The sequence below is a fragment of the Homo sapiens genome, chromosome 16 (genome assembly GCF_000001405.40).
Source record: "Homo sapiens chromosome 16, GRCh38.p14 Primary Assembly".
Taxonomy (NCBI): Eukaryota; Metazoa; Chordata; class Mammalia; order Primates; family Hominidae; genus Homo; species Homo sapiens.
In genome coordinates this window covers 50,834,988-50,861,600 of record NC_000016.10, presented here as the reverse complement: position 1 = coordinate 50,861,600, position 26,613 = coordinate 50,834,988, and the positions used below count along the sequence as shown (strand labels likewise).

General features: G+C 45.4%; 1 long non-coding RNA gene across 7 annotated transcripts in view, besides 1 other annotated feature; it reads right to left on the bottom strand.

Annotated features, from left to right (window-relative positions):
* LINC02128 (long intergenic non-protein coding RNA 2128) overlaps positions 1 to 21,545 on the bottom strand; it is a 61,006-nt gene extending 39,461 nt beyond the window's left edge. For 3 of the 7 annotated variants that reach the window (NR_184291.1, NR_184289.1, NR_184290.1), the window contains exon 1: positions 1,231 to 1,405. This is a non-coding gene — a long non-coding RNA (long intergenic non-protein coding RNA 2128). Of the gene's footprint in view, positions 1 to 1,230; positions 1,406 to 17,954; positions 18,072 to 20,186; positions 20,390 to 21,199 lie in introns of those variants that run through there. The other 4 variants (NR_184285.1, NR_184286.1, NR_184287.1 and 1 more) reach the window with 3 other exon arrangements.
* Positions 24,414 to 25,820: an enhancer, noted in NCBI's record as "VISTA enhancer hs162". NCBI's record gives its function as "enhancer in: eye[4/8]" and the evidence as "EXISTENCE:transgenic organism evidence [ECO:0001131][PMID:17130149]".

Here is a 26,613-nt window from a genome sequence, read left to right as displayed (position 1 = left end):
GAGGGCAAGGGCCTGGAGAGCCTCATCTTACCAAGAAGAGCTTTGAAAGCTTCAGGAGATGCTTCTAGCATTGCATGACCCAGAAACAAAGGCGCGGGTCTAGTCCTCCAAGTTAGTCCTCCACTAGAAAGGTCTAGTGCCTCCAACTAGAAGCACCAAAAATTAATAATGGGAGAATGTGGTGGAGTGGAGGGGGTATGAGTGGGAGCAAAATTCTCATCCATCATCTTGGAAAGTCAATAGATAATGTCCAAAACTGATGAATCAGGAAATAGTGGCAGACATGCATTATTTAGAGATATGGGGCACTGGTGTGGAGACAAGACTGGAAGTTAATGTAGAGGCCTCTGGGGAGCAGGCATGGGTGGGGATGGGTGGAGAAGGGGTCTGGCCTTTGTTTAATATTTTATTAAGGAGCTTTTGTTTATGCTCCTGACTGTGCCTCCAATTCACCCATTCCCATCACCCTGAATGGTTTTACTGACTCCCTGAGAACTCGGATAGGAGGGTTTGTCTGTGTGTGTGCCTATGTGTGTGTGTGTACACATTTGCACCTCTGCCATGCATCCCATAAATCACCACTGGGGGGACAGTGACCCAGCCTCTATTCCATCTGGGCCTCAGATTTTCTAATCTGCCTAATGAGAAGCTTGAGTGAGGGCCCTTTCCCTCTGACAGCCTGAGGCTTTGTGTTAACAGAGTTTAAAGTCAAAAGACCCAGATTCTAACCCCGCTTCTGCCACTTCCTAGCTGTGTGTCCTTTAACAAGTCACTCGACCTCTCTGTGTCTATTTTCTTCTCTCTAAAATGAGCAGGCTGATGAGAGCTGTGCACATCTATGGGGTTGCTGCAGCCACATCCTTGGTTTTCAGCCTCCCTGGACTCGCATGACACACCTCTGCCTCCCCATTCCATCACCTCCGTCCTTCCACTCTGTCTTCCTTTCCCTCATCTCATCTCCTCTCCTACCCACTGGCAAGAAGTAGCCTAAAAGCTCAAACCACAGTGAAGGATCAGGAGATGAGAAAGAAAAAGATTAGGAAGGGACATGGGCAGATGGATGGTAGAAGAAGGGGCACCAAATATGGCTCTGAGTTAGTCAGAACTCTTTGGGCTGAGAGTAATAAAACCCAATTCAAACCGGCTCCAGAAAAAAAAAAAAAAAAGAGAGAGAGAGAGAGTGAGAGAGAATTAATTGATTGACTTATATAACTGGGAGCCAAACACCACCTTCAGGCATGGCTGGATTCAGGGGTTCAAGCAGTGTCCTCAAAAACCCGCCTCTCTCTCCATGTCTCAGCTCTCCTCTGCATCAGCTCTGACACCAGGCGGGCTGGTTCCCAATAACAGGAAGGATGGTCCTTCAGCTGCTGATTTCGAAGACCCTCTCTCTCCCCACATCCCTAGCAATCTCCCCAGAAGAAACTCCAATTGGCCATCCGCGAATCACATGTTCAGTTCTGGACCAATCCCTCTTTCCAGGCAGGAGAGGTCTCCTGATTGGCCTATAAAAGTCACATGATCTGCCCTGGGGAAGGGAGGCAGGACCCTTGGTTGGAAGGAGATTCCCCAAAAGAGGGGAAGGGAATAAGGGACAAATACCTGAAGGCCACATCCAATGCCAAGATTTTCCATTTGGAAATGAGGTCTGGGGAAGGAGGGCAAAGGCTGCATAGGCTGGACCGACCGTGGGACAAGCAGCAGAGACCTTTGGCAGCCGCTGGGGATGTGGGTTGGAGTTTGAGGGTGAGGCAGAGCCAGTCTGGAGGCCATGCAGGAAGAAAACACAGTGCAAAAGGAGCAGAGGCCCCAAGTGCACCTCACAGTTCAAAGGTCAGAGCCGTGCCCCAGCCAGCTCCCGGGTTCCGGCTCCTGGCTCAGATGTCCCAGAGGAAGACCAGGGGAGCTCTGTTGGCCAGGTCAGCATGGAAGGCCCCGATTCTCAGGTCCCCAGCACCTGTCACCCATCTTGATGAGGGAGATGAGGAAGGCTCAGGGTTAGGCTCCCACCAGACCTGCCCCTGATGCTCCAGTGAGATACCACCCACCTCTACCCACCCTCCACTGGCCAAAGCGGCAGCTCTTCCTGCCCTTGGCCTGGTGTGGGAGAGGGACCTGATGAACCTGTTCACTGAGCGCTCACTGTCTGCTAGGCACTTTAGTTGCATGATCTCATTCGATTCTTATTCCAACTCTGTCTAATTGCCATTTTGCAGATAAGGAAATTGAGGCTCAGAGATGTTAAGGGAGACTAAATAACCTGCCTGTGATCTCACAGGAAGTGCTGAATGCATCAAACTGAAGAGCCTATGCTCTAAACCACTAGGCTTTATTGTATATTTTTAAAAATATGTTTATATTTATCTGCCTAGAAATATTTTTGTAGTTCTTACCAGGGGCCAGGAACTCTCCAAAGCACTTTACATGCATCAAGCCTTTTCATCCTCACATAATCCCATGAGGTCGATACTTTTGTTACCCCCATTTTACAGATAAGGAAACTCAGGCACAGAGAAGTCAAATGACTTGCCCAAGGTCATACAGCTAGTGACTGGCAGAGCTCTGGCACCTAGGCATGTGGATGCAGAGCCTGAACCTTTGCAAGTGCCCGACCATGCTCCTTGGCGGGGGGGGGGGGGACGGGGGGGGCGGTGCCTCTGATGCCACTCTGAGTTCAGAGCTAGCCCGGCAAGTGCTGTGAGCTTTGCTGAATGGCTTTCGGTCTAGCACAGAAGATTCTACAGGGAATTCAGCACACTGACTGCCCCAAAGCCCTGAAGTCAGCTTTCCTGAAGAGGCCTGGGACCAAGATTCTCTGGGCCTCCATCTCTTCATCTTTAAAAGGGGCTCAGACTTGGGTCAGAGACGCATTGCTGCAAGTGGGAGGAGGGGATGAGAACTGCAGAGGAAAACAGAGACATAGAGGCAAAAAGAGGCATGCAAAGAGGAGAGACAGCCCTGCAGAACCTGGGGGACGCAGGCAGCCCTGCCACCATCGCCAAAGCACGATAAGGCGAGTCTCCCAGCTGGGCAGGAAAGGGAGGCAGCCCGAGGCTTTGGCAGCCCAACTCACTATGCATTCCCACTGACCCCATGCCCAGCTGGCCTTCAGCACATTGTGTGGAGACCTTAGGGGGCCCACAGAGCTTTCTTCACTCCAGGACTGAAGAGAATGGGGAGTGGAGTGGGCATTGCTTAGAGATAAATATATGGCCTCATACCAAACATGATCCCAAATTCAGTCGCTGTCCCTGACCCCTAGACTGCCCTTCCAGAACAGAAAAGCCCTTCTTGCCATCAGCCCTACTTTTACACCTGCTGTAGCTCCCAGGTCCCCCAGCAGAAGATCTGCACATCCCAGCCGACATTCCCGGCCTCCACTGCTTCTCCTTAATACCCCACCACTTCTCTACACTCAGACAACGTGCCCACACAGCTGTAATGCATACTTTGATTCAGTCCATGCGCTACACACAGAACACCCTTCCCACCACCACTGACCCAAGTTTGATCTGTCCTTCAAAGCCTGGCTCCAGTGTGGGGCTGCCCAGCCTTGCCCACCACTCTTACCCCAGACTCCTCCCTGCATGCTTCCTCTCCCTCACATTCCCCAGCCTCGCTTCCCCCAGCTCTACTTCTTCAGCAATCTGTTCCCCTACACCCAGCCATCCACCAAGCCTGCTAGGGCTCCCCTTTTGTGCTTCAGTTCCCACATCTGCATATGTGGACAAGGCGAATATTTACATCGCAAGGTGGCAGTGAGGGTTATAATTAGAGAACGCAGGTAAAATGTTTAGAACAGAGCCTGGGACTTGGTAAGAACTCAGTGAATGTTGTGTTGTTGTCATTAGTGCTATCTAGGAGGATATGGCAAGCTGTATTTTCCAAAATATTTTCAGTCCCATGTGGTCTTGAAGAGAACATCATCACATCCCATCAAGGACTGGAAAGGCCCTGTGTGTGGCTTATGCCTGTAATCCCAGCACTTTCAGAGGCCGAGGCGAGAGGATTGCTTGAGCCCAGGAGTTCGAGACCAGCCTGAGCAACATGGGGAGATCCCATCTTACAAAAATATAAAAAAGGAAAAAGAAGTGGAGGAGTTACAGTCTATTTCTACTTCCTTAAAACTCACTAAGAAGGAAGTCTTGCTATGTGACTTCTAAGGCTAAGATGTAGATACAGCTTCCCTTTGTCTCTCTCTGTCTCTCTCTCCCTCTCCCTCTCCCTCTCCCTCTCTCTCTCTTTCTCTTTCTCTCACTTTTTCTCCCCTTCTTCTTACCCTTGGAACCCAGGCTCCACATTGTAAGGAAGCCCAGTCACATGGACAGACCATATGGGTCCAGTTGGCTGCCCCAGCCAAGGTTTCAGCCAACAGCCAAGATTACCCACAGCCACGTGTATGAATGAGCCTTCAAATGAGTCCAGCACCCAGCAGAATAATGCCCCCTCCCGTCTCACAAAGATTTCCATGCCCTAATTCCTGGAACCTGTGAATCTGCTACATCACATGGCAAGCAGAGCTGGCAGATGGAATTTAGGGTGTGGAGCTTGAGGTGGGGAGGGCAGCCTGGATTACACAGGTGGGCCCTATCTAAGCACATGAGCCCTTATACAAGCAAAGAACATTTCCTCAGCTGCCAGACAGCTGGCAAACAGAATTGGAGGGGCAGAGAGATGTAATCAGAAAGGGCAGAAGAGACTTAAAAGGAAGAGAGGCTCGACCTGCTGTGGCTACCTTTGAAAATGGAGGAATGGGGCTCCAAGCCAAGGGATGCAGGCTGCCTCTTCATTGGAGTACTGCCAGCAAGAAAACAGCCCAGCAATTGCAAGGAAATTAATTTTCCCAACAGTCTGAATGAGCAAGAAAATGGACTCTCCCCTGCCACGCCCTGAGTTCAGCCTTGTGAGACTCTAAGCAGATACCCACTCAAGCCCACAGGACGTCCAACCCATAACAATTGTAAGATAATAAACTGGGATAGTTTTAAGTCTCCATGTTTGTGGTAATTTGTCACAGCAGCAATTGAAAATATAGCAGCCATTGAGGTTTCCTTCTGAGGCCCTCGACATCAGGGAACAGAGACAAGCTCTCTTCCCACTCCTGACCTGCAGAGGGGGTGAACAAATGGCTGTTTTCTGCCGCCAATTTAGGTATTGCGCAGCTCTAGTAACTGAATCGGGGGCTTCCAACCCCTTTCCCAGAAGGAACTGCTGTGTCCTCTGAAATCACCAAGCCACAGTTTCTTCACCTGTAAAACAAGAGTATGGACCATAAAAGAGGCAACTTGTATGTGCTGCTATAAAAAGGCACCAGGCTGGACTTTTTAAGTGAAGGATTGATGACCAACGTACACCATACAATTCCATTTTGTGAAATGAAAACCCTTTGTTGCCACAATGAGATACCACTTCACACTCATTAGGATAGCTCTTATCAAAAAAGTAGAAAATAACAAGCATTGGAGAAATTAGAACCTTTGCACCTTGCTAGTGACAATGAGAAATGGTTTGGCTACTGTAGAATATGCTACATAGGTTCTAAAGATATAAAACATAGAATTATGTGGATTTATTCATTCCACTTCTGGGCTTATACCCAAAAGAATTGAAAGCAGGAATTCAAACGGATATCTAATACCCCTATGTTCACAGCAGCATGGCAAGCAGAACTGGCAGATGGAATTTAGGCTGTGGACTTTGAGGTGGGGAGGGCAGCCTGGATTAAACAGGTGGGCCCTATCTAAGCACATGAGCCCTTATAAAAGCTCATGTAGCTTTTTATTACAGTAGCCAAAAGGTGGAAACAACTCAAATGTCCATTGATGAATGAATGGGTTTTTTAAAATGTGGTATATCCAGACAATCGAATATTATTCAGCCCTATAAAGGAATAAAATTCTGATACATGCAATAATATGGATGAATTTCGAAAACATTATGCCAAGTTAATAAGCCAGACATAAAAGGACAAATATTATATGATTCCACTTACAGGAGGTACTGAGAGTAATCAGATTCATAGATATAGAAAGTAATGGTTGTTGCCAGGGGCTGGGAGAGAGGGGAATGGGGAGTTATTATTTAATGGAAATAGAGTTTCAGTTGGGGAAGATGAAAAAGTTCTGGAGAAGGATGGCAGTAATGGTAAAAATAGTAAATTGTATGTTATGTCTATTCTCCCACACTATTTTTTAAAACCCTTATGTGCACATATTGTTTGTACTTGTAGAAAGTTGAAAAGGATGCCTTCAACATTACTCAAGATAGTCACTATAAGGGGTAGGGGCATGGAACAGGAGGCAGGAATTCCACTTTTTACTTTATATACCTATGTGCTCTCTAACCATCTTATAAGGAACAAGCATTAAATTTGCAATAATCATATAAACCAATGTGTATTTTTCAAAGCAACCCCCACTTCAAAGAGATAATATGAGGATTAACATTCTCACTGTAGGCTGGGCGCGGTGACTGACGCCTGTAATCCCAGCACTTTGGAAGGCCGAGGCAGGTGGATCACAAGGTCAGGAGTTCATGACAAGCCTGGCCAACATAGCAAAACCCCATCTCTACTAAAAATACAAAAATTAGCCAGGTGTGGTGGCACACGCCTGTAGTCCCAGCTACTCGGGAGGCTGACGCAGGAGAATCGCTTGAACCCGGGAGGCGGAGGTTGCAGTGAGCTGAGACCGCACCATTGAACTCCAGCCTGGTGACAGGGTAAGACTCCATCTCAAAAATAAATAAATAAATACAATAAAAATTAAAAAAACATCTCACTGTAAGAAAAGCACCTACCCAGGCCTGGAGTGGAGTTCTCACATGAAAAATAAAAAACTCTCTCCCCTTCCTTTTTTCTCTCCTGAGAATATGCATGCTGTACAGAACAGCCCACCAGAGGGTTGAGGCTGCAACTGTCCATCTCACTGTCCACATCCCAGGAGGCCCAGCCCAAGCCTGGTAATCCCATCTAATCATGACCCTGGGAACCCCTCAGCATCTTTGCAACTTAGCAGGAGTGTTCATTCTTGAGTATGGGGAATGAAAACATGACGCTTTCTAGGTGGTCACATTATTAGGGGCAACAATTGCTGCCTCCTGGATCATTCCCCAAAACCAGAAAAGCTCTAAAAAGATCATTTCAGTCATCCCTCTGTCCTCTTGCCCTCATGCCCTCAACCACAAACAAACAGAATTCCTTTTACTCTTCCCTTTGAATGTGCCATAGTACTTTTCACCTCCTGGAAGTTTTTCGCAATGTCTAATCCAAATCTGTCATGCTGCTGCCCAAAAAAAGTCTTTGCCTTTACAAACTAGTAGCCCCTGCCTAGCAGAAAAGAAACTTTACAGATGGTCTTCCCATTAGAACTAGAGCCTGTTCCATGCACACCACCTAAGGAGCATAGCAAATATCTTCAGTTCAGCAGTGTATTAGTCAGGGCTCTCCAGAGAAAGAAGCAATAGTGTGTGTGTGTGTGTGTGTGTGTGTGTGTGAGTGTGTAGATAGATAAAGTAATTTATTGTAAGGAATTGTCTCATGCAATTATGGAGATGGGCAAGTCCAAATCTGCAGTGTGGGCCGGCAGGTGCAGCCAGTGGTGCCGATGAAGTCGTTAGGCAGTCTGCTGGACAATTCTTCCTTATTTGGCAGAGGATCAGCCTTTATTTCTATTCCGTTCTTCAACTGATTGGATGAGGCCCATCTACATTTATAGAGGCCAGATGGCTGTAGTCAGTCTACCAATTTAAATGTTAATCTCCTCAAGAAACACCCTCACAGAAGTATCCAGAATAATGTTTGACCGAATATCTAGGCACCCCATAGCCCAGTCAAGTTGACATATAAAGTTAACCATCACAAGTAGGTAGAGTATGGGTTGCCAGCCATCCAAGACAGTGATATTGATCAAGCTGACAACATGGCACATGGAGTGCCCCTGATCACCAGCCCTGCCTCTGGGCCCATAAAACCAGGAGCTGTACATAACATGGGGTAGATGTCAATCTGTGGTTAGCAAGATCCCCATCCTAGGTAGAGCTTTCATCCCCTGTAAGTGCAGCCCTTTCTGATGAGCCCATACCAACCACCCTTTTGGTTTCTGTTTCCATCGACAGCCTGTTTTTCTTTTGTCAGAGCCTGTTTCTGAGACTGTGCAGACCCCCACCCTCCTCTTTAACTAAACACCCAGTGGTTATGAGTATGGGTTGTAGAGAGAGGGAGCTCTGCCACTTATGGCTTTGCAATATTAAGAAAGTTCCTTAACCTCTCTGTGCTTCAGTGTTCCTATTTATAAATTGGAAATAAGTAATAATGGCATCCACCTCACAGAGTGTTATGAGAAATCAATGAACTAATACATATATTGTGCTTATACGAGGAACCTCATTAATAGTAAAGCATGAATAAATATTTACTGAGTGAATTATCATCCTCCTCCTCCTTGAATTGGCCCTTACACACCAAAATGAATCACTACAGTTTTACATAACAAAGCCAGCAGCATACTACTCCATTGGTCTTTTCAACAATTTCAAGAATAAATATAGGTGATTTTCTTAGAAAAACCTGAAAGCTCAGAAGAAAAATAATTTTTCTATGATCAAAAAAATTTATAATATAAAAATTAAAACTTTTATACAGCATCAGATCACACGGTCAATTTAGACCATAAAAGAGTCAAGAAAATATGTGCAATACAAAGAAAAAAGGTTAATATTTATAATATATTAATGAACTGTTACCAATAGAAGAATTATTTTTTAATTTTAAATTGAGATAAGGACAGGAATTAGCAAATCACAGAAAACCAAATTCAAAAGGTCAAAAAGCGCATGAAAAGATGTTCAAATTCAGGGCTATACAAATTGAAATAACAGTGAGATATCATTTTTCATCTGCCAGACTGGCAAAAATATTAAGTAACATCTACTGCCAAGGAGATGTGGGAAAATGAGTACCCTTGTTCAAAACCAGGGTAAATGGGAAGTATTTTAGGCTTTTTGGAATGCATTCCAGCAACAGCCATTAGAATGTAAAAATACATATATCCTTTGACTTGAAACTCTCTCTCTTGGAAATGTATCTTATAAAAATTAAAACCCTGGTACCTGGGAATAGATATGTGCTTGTCATACAGTTGTTCACCAGATTAGGAGATGCCTATCAAAAGGCAAATGGATGGATAATATGAATGTTATACAGACACTAAGAAGAATGTATTAGAGCTATGCCAAACAATAGGGAATTTCCTCAAGATACTGATGAGTAAGAAAAGCAAAAAGCAGAAAAGTATGTACAAAATGATCCATTTTTGTAAAAGAAACAACAACCTAAAAACTCCAAATTCATAAAGATATGTAAATATTTGTGTGCATGAAATAAAAATTATGGAGAACATAAATGCACAAAATAGTGTCTGCTATTTTAAACACATATTTACATATATAAAAGTAGAAAAATGGTCTATCTAGAAGGATAACCACCAAAATGGAAGAATCATGGTCTCTACAGAATTGGAGCAGGAGAGTAGTTAAATGACCTTCAGCTTTATTCATAATACCTTATTTCACTGAAGAAAAAAATACTGAAAGCAAATATGAGAAATGTTAATGGCTGAATGGTGCGAGTAGGGATGTTTGTTACATTATTCTCTGAAATAACAATAAACTGAAATAAAACTGACTACAGATTTGTTGTATAGTGAGATATCATCAAAAGCCTTGGTTCTCGGAGCAGTCCATGGATCTATCATGTACAGCTTCCCCACCAGTACCATGGGCATACATGACTACATTCACAAGTTGCTGAGAGGGTCAAATGAGAGAATACATGTAAAAAGACCCAATAGTCAGCCAATGCCAGTCAGTCCTGCCTCCCCAGACACTTGGGTAGATGTTTGCAAAGATGCTTTGGTGCTCTTCCCAGTGGGGGCAGCTGGTAATTTGGCCCAGGCTATTGTAGCACATGGGAGCCTAGATGGTTGATCTGAACTCTGGGGGGAATTCTAGGAAGATTATAGGCAGAGGGAATATCACAAGAAAAAAAAACTACAGACCAATATGTCTTACAAGTATGCATGTAAAAATCTCCAACAAAAGTATTAGCAAACCAAGTACACAACATATAAGAAAAATTATATACCATGGTCAAGTGGGATGTATTCAGGAATGCTAAGTTGATTTTCAGCATCTGAAAATCAATTAACACAATACATCATATAATAGAATAAAAAACAAAAATCACAAGATCCTCTCAAATAACACAGGAAATCCACTTAACAAAATCCAACACTCTTTCATGATAAAAAACACTCGAGAGACTAAGAATGGAAGGAAACTCCCTCAACCTGTTATAGGGCATCTGCCCAAAAATCCACAGTTAATGTCATACTTAATGGTGAAAGACAGTATGCTTTCCCCTAAGATCAGGAACCAGACAAGGATTTCTGCTTTCAATACTTCTATTCAACATTGTACTGGAGTTTTTCGCCAGGGCATTAGATGTAAAAGAAATAGAAAACATTCAGAATGGAAATGAAAAAGTAAAGCTACCTCTATGCACAGATGACATGATCTTGTATACAGAAAATCCTAAGGAATTCACTAAAAAGCTATTAAAATGAATAAATGAATTCAGCAAGTTGCAGGACATAAGATCAATACATAAAAATCAATTTGTGTTGCACTTGTAAAGAACAATTTAATAAATGACATTTTAAAAACAATTGTATTAACAACAGCACCAAAAAGAATAAAATGCTTCGGAATGAATGTAACAAAAGCAGCACAGGATTTGTACCTGAAAACTACAAAACATTGTTGAAAGAAATTAAAGGAGATCTAAATAATTTGGAAAACATCCCATGTTCATGATCAGAAGACTTAACACTATTTAGATGATGATACTCCCCAAACTGATCTACAGATTCAACACAGTCCCCTTCAGAATCCCGGAAAACTTCTTTATAGAAATTGACAAGGGGATTCTAAACTTCATATAGAATTTCAAAGGACCACAGACAGCTGAAACAATCTTGGAAAAGAAGAAAGAAGGTAGACTCACACTTCCTGACTTCAAAACTTATTACAAGCAACAGTAATCAAGGACAGTGTGGTCCTGGTATAAGGACAGACATATAGATCAATGGAAGAGAATTGAGAATCTATAAGTAAACTTATACATCTATGGTCAACTGATTTTTAATAAGGGTGCCAATACCATCCAATGGGGAAAGAACAGTCTTTTCAATAAATGGTACCGGGACAACTAGATATCTACATAAAAAAGAGGGAAGTCGGACACTTACCTCACACTATATATAAAAATTTAGGCCGGGTGCAGTGGCTCACACCTGTAATCCCAGCACTTTGGGAGGCCGGGGCAGGCAGATCACCTGAGGTCAGGAGTTCGAGATCAGCCTGGCCGACATAGTTAAGCCCTATCTCTACTAAAAATACAAAAAAATCAGCTGGGCATGGTGGTGGGCACCTGTAATCCCAGATACTCGGGAGGCTGAGGCAGGAGAATCGCTGGAACCCAGGAGGCAGAGGTTGCAGTGAGCCAAGATAGTGCCACTGCATTCCAGCCTCAGTGACAGAGCGAGACTCCGTCCCCCTCCCAAAAAAAATTAACTGAAAATGGATCAAAGACCTCAATGTAAGAGCTAAAACTATAAAACTCTAAGAAGAAAACATAGGAGTAAATATTCATGACCTTGGATTTGGCAACGCCTGACCCTTCTCACTGTCAAGGAAGGCCCTGTAATAACTGTGCCCTGGCACAGTACATGACACATGGTGAGAACTGAAAGGAGATAATGTTGGTTTTCCCAACATTTGTTGGGCTAAATACATTTGTTGAATGAATTAATGAATGACTTCTCTACCCAACCCCAAGTGGAACTGAAGCCAAGCCATGCACACGCATGTGCACGCATGCACACACACACACACAATCTGTGCTATGTGCTGAACAAGGCCCTACTGAAATCCCTTTCTGTCTTCATCCTCCCTCCCCACTCCCTTCCATAGACTCCACCTGACAAGACCCAGTGCAGATGCCTGCTCTTCCTGGAAGTCTTCTCCTATCAGTCGCTGATTCACTCAACAATCAATCACTGGGCATCTGCTCTAAGCCAGGCCCTGAGCTGGGTCCTGGCAACACACAGCAGGACAGATGTGGGCCCTAAGCTTACGGCACTCACAGTTGCACAGGGGCCATGGACAGGAGCTTTGACCTTTCCTCCCAGACACATGCTCTGCTCTGAACTTTCAGGGAGGCACCACACACCACCTCCTACTGGAGCGATCAATGAAGTGGCTGATTTGCCATTTGAGTGAGGTACAAAGAGGCCTCCTGTGCCACCCAGTTTGGAGGGAGCAGAGTGGACCTCCCACCAACTCCAGGACTCCACCTGTCTTGGTTGTTCAATACTCATTTACCTATACAGGACCATTCTCGTGAAAAGTTGAAAGCTTGTTTCTCCATGACAAAAAGTCCCAAGAAAGAATGCCAACTGCTAATGCTGTTGGTAGGAACAAAGAGAATACAAGAAGGAATACAAAGAGAAGCAGTTTAAGAAAGTAAACAATGGGATAAATTAAAAGCTACAACCGATGTTAACCTGGGCTTGAGCAATGTTATGTCCACATCGCTTGAAATGGAAACAGGGAAAAGCAAATCATGAGACTGTTTCAGAAAGGGCTCCAAATATGAGCAGATAACTCATCAAATAAAAAGGAAAACTTTAGGCAAAGTTTAAAAGTGACAGAGCTTATTTTAATAACAAGATTAAATCTTTTAGTGATGGAAGCAGCACTTAGACGACCCCCTAATATTTTTCTCCTTGAGCATGGGAGATGGGGGAAGGAGACATGATACACTAGAATGTTGTATTCAAAGTGGGAGTTCTGAGAGTGTCTTGAGATCCATCCTTCCTGAAGAGGTATGGGGTCAGTGAAAACACCTGATGAACAGATATTCACAGCAGTGTTGGCTGAAGCAGCAAAGAATTGGAAAACATTCAAATGTCCAAAAAGTCAGAGCCCCTCTAAGCCATCAGGGGTGCATCTACCCCATGGAATATACGCAGCCTCTAAAATAAAGGTCTTACGTATTTGATAGAAATGTGTCCTCTTGAAAGTATTATTTTTAGAGATGGGGTCTCACTGTGTTGCCCAGACTGGTCTCAAACTCCTAGGCTCGAGTGATTCCCCCACCTCAGCCTCCCAAAGTGCTGGGATTATAGGCGTGAGCCATCATGCCTGGCCCTGGTAGTATTTGAAGTGGAGAAAAAGACAGGATACAAAATGCCGTCTGGCTGAAAATGCAACTGCAAAACATACATTCGGGAAGACAGACACAAAAGCATGGGACAAGGCCTTAATTTTAGGGGAATTGCAAATGACTTTTTTTTTGCCTTTTATTTTTATGGCTGTTGCTATGATATTGTTTGCACAATTAAAAATGCTGAAATCAAAGCCAAGCCATTTAAGAAGTTATAACTCAGATTTCTCCAGTGACATTTAAACAATCACTTACTGAGCATGGACCATCAAGTCTGTGACTGGCCCTATGATGGGGTTTTAGGATTCCAGAGACAAAAAGAGGCTGAGCACAGTGGCTCATGCCTGTATCCCAACACTATGGAAGGCCAAGGCAGAAGGATTGCTTGAGTCCAGGAGTTCAAGACCAGCCTGGGAAGCATAGTGAGATCCTGTCTCAAAAACAACAACGACAACCAAAAAAAAAAAAAAAAAACCAGCCAGGCGTGGTGGTGCACACCTCCTATAGAACCAGCTACTCAGGAGGCTGAGGTGGAAGGATCACTTAAGCCCAGGAGTTCGAGGTTTCAATGAGCAATCACACCACTGCACTCCAGCCTGGGTGACAAAGAAAGAACCTGTCTCTAATTTAAAAGGAGAGAGAGAGACAGAGAGAGAGAGAGACATGGATCCTGTGCTTAAAGAACTCACAGTAAGGGATGGGAAGAGGAGGTAGAACCTGAACAGATCATCACAACATGGTAGAAAGGCTTTGAGCAAGATGGTCACAGAAAATAGGAAGGATAATGTTAAGAACGACAGTGATGGTAACAATGTCCAACATTCTTGTAGTGCTGTATGAGGCAGAATAAACCAGGTTATGCTGCAGTAACAAGCCCACAATTTTCGTGGCTTAAAACAGCCAAGTTTTATTTCTTGCTCATGCTACTTGTTCATTGCAGGTTGGCACTGGAGGAAGGGTGGGAGGAAACGCTGCCCATTATAGTTACTCAAAGACCAGGGCAAGTGAAGCAGCCACCATCTCAAAAGCTGATGGTCACTTTGCCACAAAGAAAGAGAAATCAGGGGGTATCTTATACCTGCAGTTAAATAATCTGGTCTAGGAAATGACTTCCATAATTTCTGCAAATAATTCATTGGCCAGGGCTAGTACCATTCCCCTAGCTTCAAGGAGAGTAAAAAGTGCAATTCTACCACATTTGTGCAAGTCAGGAAGCCAGAAATATTTAATAAACTGCATTAATAGCTATCATATATATTTGCTACTTCAGGTACCACCCAAATATGTTACATAAATTAGTTTATTTCATTCAGATAACAATCATAGGAGGCAGGGACTATTATCCCCATCATGCAGTTAAGCAAATGGAGGTCCAATGTACTCAACATTATGTAATGTACCCAAGACCACAGAGCAAGTGTTACAGCTGGAATTTGAGCCCAGGACTTAAGCTCCAGACCCATGTCACTCTATCAGATGGACTCAGGAGAAGAAGACCTCTTGGCCTCAGGGCAGGAAGGTAATCTGGAGAGGTAAATTGGAGCCAGAGGTCAGAAAGCCTCACCATGGCCAGGACACACACTCCGCCATCTTAAAGGATGTTCTCACAAAAGATGCGTCCAGCATTCTGCCAAAAGTGCATTCCCTGAATATAATCACAAGGAAACTATCAGACAGATCCAGGTGGAGGAACATCCAACAAAGCAACTTCCCTGAACCACTAGCAATTCCAAAGTTGTGAATGACAAAGGGGAGAGCAGGACATGGGTGGGGGCTCAGGCACTGTTCCAGGTGAAAGGGGTGTGAATGCCACTCTTGGCTCTCAGCTGCATGTTATATCTGGGCTGGGGGTGGATCCAGCCTGCTCAAGATAGCAAGACCCTGTCTCTACAAAAAAAAAAAAAAAAAGGTAATTAATGGGGTGTGGTGGTACCTGCCAGCTACTCAGTAAGCTAAGGCAGGAGGATCACTTGAGCCCAAAAGTTCAAGGCTGCAGTGAGCTATGATCACACCACTGCACTCCAGCCTGGGCAAGAGAGTGAGACCCTGTCTCAAATATATGTCTATATTTGGGAGGAAAATGCCTTAGAGGTCTTTACTGAAATAATTGGCAAAATTTGAATATGAACACTACATTAGATAACAATAAAGTCAGTGTTAACTTTCCTAAGTTTGATCATTATACTGTGATACCTAAGAGAAAGTGCTGTTCTCAGATATCCTCTGAAGTGTGTAGGTGTGAAGGGCCATGATATTTGTACTTTCTCTCAAAGGCATCAGCAATCATCATAACAATAATATACACATGTAGAAAGAGACAGAAAGAAATGTGACAAAATGCTAACAATTGTTGAATCTAGGTAATTGTAGCTGGGCATTCATTGTACTATCCTTGCAACTTCAGATAGACTTGAAATTTTTCCCCAAAAAAATATATTTTTAAACTAAAAGTGCTATCTGCCTTCTGTCCTGCTTATGCTTTGTGTGTGTATGTGTGTGTTTGTGAGTGTGTGTATATGAGTGTGTGTGAGTGTTGTGCCCACCACCCAGTTGGTGACTTGGGCTGGGTAGCCCTCATCTTCCAGCCTCCCCTTTGAAAACTGGCTCATCCTGTACAGGTTGGCCCTAGACAGTTCTCAGTGATGTGACCACCAGCTCAGACCTTGTCACTTGTCACAGACTCCTGCTCCCATGAAACTGCTCATGGAACTGCTCTGGGTGCAGGGCCATGTCTTTTCCTTCCCACTTCCCACCAGTTTTTTCAAACCTGGGGCTATCTTTCCCCTCCTTGAATCTTCAAGGGAGAGATTGGAGCCCCTGCCTCAACAATGCATAGCCCCCTGTGCCCAGTGACACCACACGCTCCTCAAGGTGAACTAATTCCCAGCCCCTCAAGCAAGAAGCAACCTCTCCTTCTCCCCACATCCAGAGGACCCCAAGGCAAGCAAGGCAGAGGCCAACAGCACACAGACCTACACGTACTCCATGTTTCTTCCCCTTAGACTTGATTTCTTCTACCACCAAGCATGAGGGTGAGACCCAGTCTCCCTCTGCTCCTCTGGCCCCCTTCTGTACCCACAAAATCCACTGGGGGTCTGAGCTGGTTCAGTATAGATGTGCAAATATGTGGCCATGTGCTCATGTGCAAACAAGTGGTTAGCGAAGTAGGAGCCGCACATCAATTATCTATTGCCACAATAATGATTTATAGCAAACTGGCCCCAATTCGGTGGCTTATCTAACAACTATTTATTATTGTACACAAGACTACAGGTCAAACGGGCAGTTCTTTAATCTAAGCCAGGCACAATAGGACTCCATGAGGCATCTGTGGTCAGCTGCAGTAGTGCTGATGGCTTTACTGATCTCACTCTGGCTAGGACGCCTTTGCTGACTCTTCTCTGCTCCACAGGGTCTCTGATCCTCTAGCAAGCTAGCCCAGGCTTGTTCTCAAGATGAAGACAAAGTTCACAAAGGAGAGAGCTGGGAACGGGCACATATCACTTCTAATGTATTCTGTTGGCCAAAACAACTCAGTTCAAGTGGTGGAAAAATAAACAGATTCCACTTCTTGATGGGAAAAGTTGCAAAGTCACACTGCCCTGGAGGGAGAGCAGGGTAGAAAACTGCAGCTAATTTTGCAATTAAATTTTGCAAAATAAACCAAAAAAAAATGTGTGTGTCCATGAGTCTGCCCACCTAGGCTTTTGGGAGGTGCATGCACATGAGAAATAAAGCAACTTCACTTTCACCACATGGCAGGTAGCAGATGGCACACATTCTGAGATTGTTGGCAATGGGCTCTTCTGTCCCCCCAAACACCTCTAAGAGGGAGACTACTATCACTAGTGGCAGCACTAGCTAGAAATTCCTTGCAAAGTTTCTTCCCAGACCCAATGCTTAGCACAGCCACAGAATGAACTAACCTCTAGTAACCTTGCATGCTAGACTGGCTAATAATTTGTGAGGCCCAGTGCAAAATGAAAATGCAAAGTCCTTTATTCTAAAATTGTTAAAAATTTCAAGACAACTGTCAAGAGAATAAGAAGGCAAGCCACTGACTTGGAGAAAATGTTTGAAAAAGACACGTCTGATAAAAGACTAGTATCCCAAATATGCAAAGGACTCTTAAAACTCAAAAATAAGAAATGAACAATTCAATTAAAAAATTAGCCAAAGACTCTGAAAGACACCTCGTCAAAGAAGATACACAGATGGCAACTAGCCTATGAAAAGATGCTCCGCATCTTATGTCATCAGGGAAATGCAAATTAAAACTATGAGATACCACTATGTGCCTGTTGGAATGGCCAAAATCCAGAACAGTGATAGCACCAAATACTGGTGAGGATGGAGTCAATAGGGACTCTCCTTCATTGCTATTGGGAATATAAAGTGTCCAGGCACTGTGGGAGACAGTCTGGCAGTTTCTTAGAAAACTAAGCATACCATTACCATACAACAATCAATTGTACTCCTTGGTATTTACCAAAAAAAGCTGAAAACTTATGTCTGTCCCAAAACCTGCACACAGATGTTTATACCAGCTTCATTCATAATTGCCAAAACTTGGAAGCAATCCGGGTGTCTGTCAGTAGCGAATGGATAAATAAACCATGGTACATCCAGACAACAGAATATTACTCAGCACTAAAAAGAAATGACTTACCAAGCCATAAAACAACATGGAGAAACTTTAAACGCATGTGACTAACTGAAAGAAGCCCATCTGAACAGGCTCCATATGGTATGATTTCAACTCTACGACATACTGGAAACGGCAAAACTGTGGAGAGAGTAAAGAGGTCAGTGATTGTCAGGAGTTGGGGTAGGGAGGGGTGAATATGCAGAGCACAGTATTTTTAGGGCAGTGAAACTCTTCTGTATGTTATAATGATGAATGCATGTCATTATATATTTGTCCAAACTCATAGAATGTATAACACCCAGAGTGAACCTCATGTAAACTATGGAGTCCGGTGATAATGATGAACCAATGTAGGTTCACTGACACAAATGGACCCCTCTGATGGGGATGCTAATGGGGGAGGCAGTGCATGTGTAGGGTGGGGTGTATACGGGAAATCTCTGTACCTTCTGCTCTGTTTTGTTGAAACCTAAAACTGCTCTAAAAATACAGTCTCTAAAAAAGTTCAAGACAGTTACATTTAATTAAGGACATTAAACTAAGCATGGGGCCTGCATGGGTCACACTCACATGAAGCTGGTCCTGTCTGCTGGGTCTCCTCACCTGGCCTGACCCTGGCCATCACACCCAGGCAGTGGAAGCCACCACACAGTCACTACTGGGCCCACCTTCATTCATTCATTTATTCATTCAACACAGATTTACTGCGTGTCTGTGACACTCCAGGGACTGTGCTCAGTGCTGGGGACATAGCAGTGAAAATACAAGTCCCTGCCCTCACAGAGCTCAAATTCCAGAGGGAGAGACAAACAATAAACAAGATAAATCAATATGTCATCTGTTGGACAGTGAGCAGGGCAGAGGAGATGCACGCACTGTGGGGTGCAGGGTAGGGGATGAAATCATAACCGCAGAGGTTAGGGGAAGTATCACTGAGAAGGTGACTGTTGAGTAGAAGTGAGAGACTGAGTCATGTCCAGTGACTGGGAGGCAGAGGCAGGTTCCGGAGAAAGAGGAGAGTGGAAGCAAAGGCTCTGAGGCAGCAGCTTGGCTGGAGTGTTAGGGGAACTGCAAGGAGGCTGCTGTGGACGCAGGGGAGGAAGAGAGAGGGATGGAGGGGGAGGCGAGGTCGGTGAGGAAGGCCGAGCCAGACCACAGGGGCCTCGCCGGCCATGGCAAGGAATTTGGTTTTTACTCCAAAGAGAAAGAGGAAGCCAGGGAAGAGTTTTGAGCGGAAGAGTGACCTGGCCTGACTCCTGTTTCTAAAGGATCAGCCTGGCTATTGAGTGGAGGACAAGTGGGGATGGCGGACACCGAGAGGCCCGCTAGGAGATGCTGGCCTTCCCCACCACCCGTCATCCCGCACAGGCCATCGGCCCGGTAGCAGCATCCGGGACTCTCCACCCCCGGGCTTTTGCAGCAGGTTCTCAGGCAGCAGGAGGTGCTGGGAATTAACACCCCCAGGGAACAGCCCTCAGCCAATGACAAATGGAGTTGAAGAGAAGACCGCAGCTTCCCCACCTCCAGGTGGGACAATCCCAAAGTGTGCCCCACAGTGCCGCCCCAGGATCCCTAGCAGGACTGCACCCCAGTTGCCCACAGCTGTCACCTGCTTGGTGACGTACCCCGTGTGCGGTCCTTCTCTCCTCTACCACTGCTTCCTGGGACCACCTCCGGGAGAAAGCACTTGGGGGAAACTTGTCTGAAGATGTACTTCTGGGAGAACTTTAGCTAAGAGGGAAGTATGGCCATAAGTGACTCGAAGGTGGCTCAGATGGTGGTTGGCATCACACATAGTAAGAAGGGATTCTGGCTACATTAGGAAGGGATTTACAGCCGAGCAGGAGGTGAGGTCGGCAGGCTCGGGGCACCTGTCTTCACCTCCCAAGCCAGGTGGCCAGGCCTGAAGGCACTCAGCCTCCAGAAGCCCACAAGGCAGGACGGTGCCCTGACCACAAGCCCTGGGCGCCGGGCCGCCAGCCCGTGTCCTGCAGGGCTGAGGGGCTGAGGCCTTCTGAGTTAATGAGGTCCCCGGCAGAAGCACACCCCGCTGAAAATGACAAACGAACAGCATTACAGGCCGTTCCCACAATTACTATCAGTTGGCTGTAATATAAATATGCAAATTCCCTGGGCTTGAACTTTAACACCCTCGGTAGAGACCATTCATCTCTTTAAAGTATTAATTTAAGTTGTAACAGGGCCCATACATCACCGCGTGTCATTTTGAAAACAAATATTAATCAATTTTACCCTCGGAATTGCTACAGCGGAGGCGGCCCCCACGGCTGCGACTGCGGCACCGGAAGGCTGCAGCGAGAGATTTACATATTCATCCGAGCTTAAGGAAGCCGCGATAATGCAGGTACAGCCCGAAACCCACGCCCCCAGACCTTATCTGCGCGCCCCGCCGGCCCGCGGCTGCTTCTGCATGCGCCGCGCAGTGACTTGCAAATGAAACCCGCAGACCGCTGTCTGGATAACCTTGAACGCCACCGAGACAGGAGGCGAGGCGGCCTTCCAACTTCTCCTTTCCCAGAAATCAAAAAGTATTGAGAAAGGCTAGGATCTCCCTCTCCAAACGGGAGAAACAGCTCTGGCCTCCTTGGAGGTCCTGAGCAAGACAGGCTGGTCCCTGAACCCAGCTTACTTTTCCACCAGCCTTAAGAACCAGGACACCAGAGTGGCAGGTCCTGAAATGACGCGGGGGACTGGAGGTGGTGGTCTTCTGGGGACAGAAAAGGGCTGTGGAGTCATATAGCCCTGGCTTCCAAAACAGAGTCCGCACATACATGCCATGGACCTTCGCATAGATTGATTTAATTTCTTGGTTACATTAATGGAGAAATGTGCCCAGATATTAAAGATATCAACTCAAAGAGTCATTGGCAGGCTTAGAAATTATCTATGAAAAGCACCTATCACAGAAATGGGTATATAGTAAGGGCTGGGATGACATTATCAACAATTATTATTATTTTACTCAGTTATCTTCTGGGGTGACCATTCCCCTCTCCTCAACTGCACCCCCTTTGATCTTTCTACCCTTGCATCTGTAGTGGGTTTGAGGGACAGGACCTCCTGCTCCCACCCTGCCTACTGCCACAGTCTTAGTCTAACAGAATCTGCTGCCCCCTGCCTGAAGATCTGCCACTTCCTTTACAAGAAGACAGGACATCCTGGAAAGAAATGCAAGCCAGGTTGAAAGGTTAATAGCTCCCATTCCCCAAGGTGCTGACCACTCCCTGCTTCCCCTAGGGAGATACCTCCATCCTCAGCCGGAGACAGCACGCCTCCAGCCTCCTCTCGAATCAGGGCTTGCAGGGGCACAAAGCTGCTGCCATTCTCTGGTACTGGGGAGCGTCCACGTCAAGCCAGCAGAGGACACGTTGCACCTGCACAGGTGCATGAGAGATGCTCCTTCCATCCCAGAGCCATCCTACACTGGCCTGCACACCCTCGTCAGCATCCACTGCGTTGTATGCATGTACACATGCTGTACACACGGGATGCTGGCTCACTGTGTGGCTGACCTCCACATTGCAGCCCAGAAAACCTCGCAGCCCAGAAAACCCCACCTCCCTTCATTGGCCCATCAGCAATGTTGGAACTGGACTTCCATGACGAACTCTATGCATAGAACGGTGCACAGTCGAAGGGTTCTCCCCCGGAATGGTGATGCCAACCAGTGAACATCGTCCACCACCTCCTGGTAATGCTGAGTATCGGCCAATGTCAAACATTCACTGGGACAGCCGCAGATCCTGGCTCAAGTGAGGAAGAGAAATACCTCCCTATCCTTCTCCCTGGTGCTAGGGTGAGAGAAACTCATTTCATCACTGCTAAGCCTGGGACAGGAATCACTCAGGGATACAATAAAATCCCCACCCTGCAGGTATATCTGAACCAAATGAAGTATATACACCCATACATATCAAATCACATGTAAGCATGTGCACATGTATAGGCTGGACTATGTGTAAATGTGCACATTGCCCACGTGTGTTAAGCCATATGCAAGGATTTACATGTGTGTGTTCTACCACAGGTAAGTGTGCTTGTGTGTGTTAAGTTGCATGTGAGTGCACATGTGTGTTGATCCACATGTGAGTGTATGCACACGTGTATATTAAACCACATGTTGGTGTGTGCATTGCACATGTACATGTGTATTGAGCTACATGTAAGTGTGTGCATACATGTATGTTGACTCACACAGAAGCATTGCAGGCGCATATGTGTATATCGAACCACACGTAAATGTATGCACACATCATGTTGGTCTGTGACAGTCTGTGCAAAAAATGACATCCAGAGATAATGGCAGGAAATAAACACAGTGACTGTTTAACAAAGAAAAAAAAGAAAGAAAGAAATCCTGTTAAAAACACCCTATATTAAAATTTGTAATTAAAACATTCATCCCACAAATGTTTATGAAGGACCTAATTTTTTTTTCTTTTTAGAGACAGGGTATCACTATGTTGCACAAACTGTTTTCAAACTCCTGGACTCAGGTGATCCTCTGGCTTTGGCCTTCTAAAGTGCTGGGATTACAGGCATGAGCCACCATGCCCAGCTGGACCTAATATATTTCAGGGAAATGTCCAGTCAGGAGGCCAAAGGGCTGAGTTATGGGGAGTGGACCAGCCAGAGTTTTCACATAGTTCATTGAACCTAAGACACAGTTTTAGCCTATGAAATAAAGTACGCTGTAATAAATTCAGGAAATCCCAAGTCAAGTTCTTTCCTTCTGGCCTGCGACTTAGTAATCAACATGGTTATTCCCTGCTACTTAAGGAAAACCCATGGTTCTGAAGGACAGTGGTAGTATATAGGTAAAATCTTCCAGAAAACAAGTGTGTTGGTTTTTTTGTTTTTGTTTTTTGAGACAGGGTCTCGCTCTGTCACCCAGGCTGGAGTGCAATGGTGCAGTCATAGCTCACTGAAGCCTCGAACTCCTGGGCTCCAACTATCCTCCCACCTCAGCCTCCCAAGTAGCTAGAACTACAGGTGTGCACCACCAGGCATGGCTGGTTTTTTAAATATTTTTTGTACAGACAGTCTTGCTGTGTTACCCAGGCTGGTCTCAAACTCTTGATCTAATGCAATCCTCCTGCCTCAGCCTCCCAAACTGCTAGGATTATAGGCATGAGCCACTGTGCCTGGCTGTGGTTTTTTTTAAGTGCATAGATTTTTTTTCTAAGTGGAATGTTGTAATAAGTTGGCCTTTGCCAGGAAATCTATCTTGATGTCATATTTTCCACGCAGGCCCAGGGTACCTTGTCAGTAGATCTCTAATTTCCTGGAAGTCAATTACCCAATCAACTGAGCAGCAAAGACAGTGATCTTGGGCAAGTTACTCACTGTGCTTCCATTTCCTCACCTGTGAAACAGGGACAACACCAGGACATGTCTTTTAGCATTGTTGTAAGGATGAAACCAGTCCAAAACTGACCCTGATACATGATGAGCGCTCACTAATGTTAGCTATCATTAATCACCATTGTCATCACCATAACTCATCATTGCCAGCAGACATTTTATTTTATTAAGAATGCTTTTTTAAATTCAGTGCCAGTACTAAAACATTAAAACAGTAGACATATAAATTTAGAATCCTAGTTTTTGTTTAAAAATCCAAACCTCAGTGGGGCACAGTGGCTCATGCCTGTAATCCCAGCACTTTGGGAGGCCAAGGAGAGAGGATCACTTGTGTCCAAGAGTTCAAGACCAGCCTGGGCAACATAGTAAGACTCCATCTCTACAAAAAAAAAAAAAAAAAAAAAAAGGTTGGGTATGGTGGCACGCACCTGTAGTCCCAGCTACTCAGAGGCTAAGGTCGTGGGATTGCTTGAGCCCAGAGGGACTACAATTGCTGCAGTAAGCTGTGATCGAACCACTGCACTCCAGTCTGGGCAACAGAGTGAGATCATGTCTCAAAACAAAAAACAAACAAACAAACCAAATAAAAACAGGAAAAGAAAAATATAGTAAAATAAAATTAAAACTTAAGCCTCTGGGTCCACCAGGCCTGCATTGGCCCAAGGCAACCTGTAGTGGCTGCCCCTCCAGGCAGAGAGGCATGTGCCCTCCAGCTTGCCACCGTCCCCATCCAGCTCACTAGCCCATCTCCATTGCTGCTTGGCCCCCATGTGATCCTGAGGGTGAGAACCTTGGCATCCTGCTGATAAACAGATAGGAAGACTGAGGCCCAAAAAGGAAAAAGGTGCTGCCAGCCCTGGGCCCCAGGAGCCACATGCCCCTGAGCCCTGGCCCAGAGCCCTTTCCACGATCCCATGTTAAATTCCTTTGGCCCATAAGACCAGAGGGAGGCTGAAGTCTCAGCTCCAATTTTTCAAAGCTGAAAAAGACCAATCCCCTCCTACTAAATATAATGGGATTTCCAAAGATGGATGGAGACAGTAGTTTAGGGTGGGGCTGGGGTTGTTGCAGGAGTGTGTGGCATGTCTGGTGTTTAATGTTTCAGCCTCTCTTCTGCGTTCTTTTACATTTAGTGAATTACCAATATTAAGGCAAAATAGATCTATTAGACAATTACCTAAGGGAACTCAGCTGCTACCATAAAGCCAATGAAGTTATGACAGCAGGGCCCAGGAGGAATCAGAGCTGAGTAAAACCTGTCGAGGCTGCTGACAAATGATGATAAAGTGGTCGCTTTTGCCAGTGCTCAATGGAAATTGACAAGGTGAGCCTCCCCACCTAATGAACAGATCCAACCCCTGTTCCCGATGAAATGCGCAGCAAGTTTAATCTCAATAAGCATCAAAATAAATTTGTTCCCACGTTTAGAGAGAGCACAGACATGTGGGCAGGAGCCATGGCCTTCATGGATGGGACCCAGGCTGTGGTGTAGGGGTGGCAGTGAAGGTGCTGGGGGCTTCCCCATCAACAGTATCTCAGGTACATCTGCCTAAAAATACCTCCATTGCCCATTCTGTCCACTCCCAGAACAGAAACTGAGGCTCAGATGGCACCTACGTCACAGAGACCCCAACCGCTCAGAGAGCAATTGTCTCCATAACTCCTATTAAATGTGCGCAGCTCTGATTCTTATAAAGTAATGTCAGTTACAGAACAATACCAGCCTGCCAGGCAAGACACATTAGAGGAACAAGGCGGGTGGCGTGGGGGTGGGGGGAGAGACACTCCCACCACCAACCCTCGGAATACAATGCACCAGCTGCACATTAATAAATATGTAATGTTTGATTAGAAATATGTATAGTATTTTTTTCCCTCCCCAAATGCCGGCTCGCCCTCAGGCGGAAGACGGGATCTGGCCCACACTGACGGGTTTCTTTCTTGCTTGCTTTGAAAATACAAACTCAAATGTTTTCCTGTCCCAGCTGTTTCCCATTGTTGCTGTTTATCAGCTTGAAGGATGAACAGTGGAATAAAAAAACACGCTTGCATTTCAAATGTGCCAGTCAGTCACTCCATTGTTCAAAGAAGAAAGCTTAATTGTCTGTGCTGGCAAACTTCTTTTTGGTGAATGTCCAGGTTTTAAGAAAAGCTATTCAGCTGTGCAATTTGTTTAATACATGCAGAGAAAAGCATATAAAATCACACGTTTTTCTGAAAAAAAAATTAAATAAGGGGAAAAGAGGAATTTTGGAAAAGAACGAGTCACACATTGAAGTTTCCCGATTGCCCCCACTGGGCACAGGTTTCTGTGTCCTCTACTGAAGTCTCACTTTTCTCTTGGGATGCTCCAGAAAGTCCCACTCAGTGGTTGAGCTTGGTGCTGACAAACAGCACCGGCTCTGAGCTGACGGCCCAGGCAGCAGAAACTTCAGATCGTGCCGGCCAAAGCTCGGCTTTCCCTGTGATTACACCAACTTGTATTTGAGCAGCTCCTGCTTTCTAGGAGTGAGGTACAGATACAGCCAGCAATGCTTGAGAACTTCTATGGATAAAGTTAGTTATGCCCAAAGCAGAGAGGCCCTGTCACAGCTTACCTGTCAAGGTGGGCACACAGGGATAAGCCTGGGCACCCCCAGCAACCCATCTAATTCAGGGGCAAGTGGAATCCGTGGTTGCCTGGTGAGCCTGCAGGGAGAAGGCGCCCAATCTCAAACACCACCCCTGAACAATCCCACAACCAAATGGCAGAAATGCAGTTTCAAAGGAGCGTGGTCTTCTGCTTGGGCTTGAGTGTTCTGGGCTTACCTTGCAAAACAACCTGGCCTCAAGAGGTTTCCATGTCAAAACTGGATGCTTGGGGATGGGAGAGTGGTTTGCAATATCAGTAGTAAGAGCTTCTGTGTCCCCTCCAGACCCCCAAGTGTCTAAGAAACTGCCCCTAAGATGTAGATGACTGATACCAGATCCATATCTGTGAGCAGAGGACGGAAGAGAAATTGGATGTGCTGGCATTGAGGGGACACCAAGGCACTGGGGGAAAGGGCCCCCAAAGTGTGGTGGAAAAAAGAGGCAGCTTCATAGCTTAGCCAGAGGGTGATGGTATTACCCATCTCAATCACTCTCTTTCTAGATTTTACGAGTAATGTTTTTCGATACGTAAAAATAAATGATAAGGGCGTAAGTATCCCCGCCCAGTTCATAACAATGCCCCCACCAAATTTTTCAACATTCTCCCCCTGCCATGTCCCAGTGTTGTTCACAGTAAATTATTCATAGCTGCCCCATGAGGTCA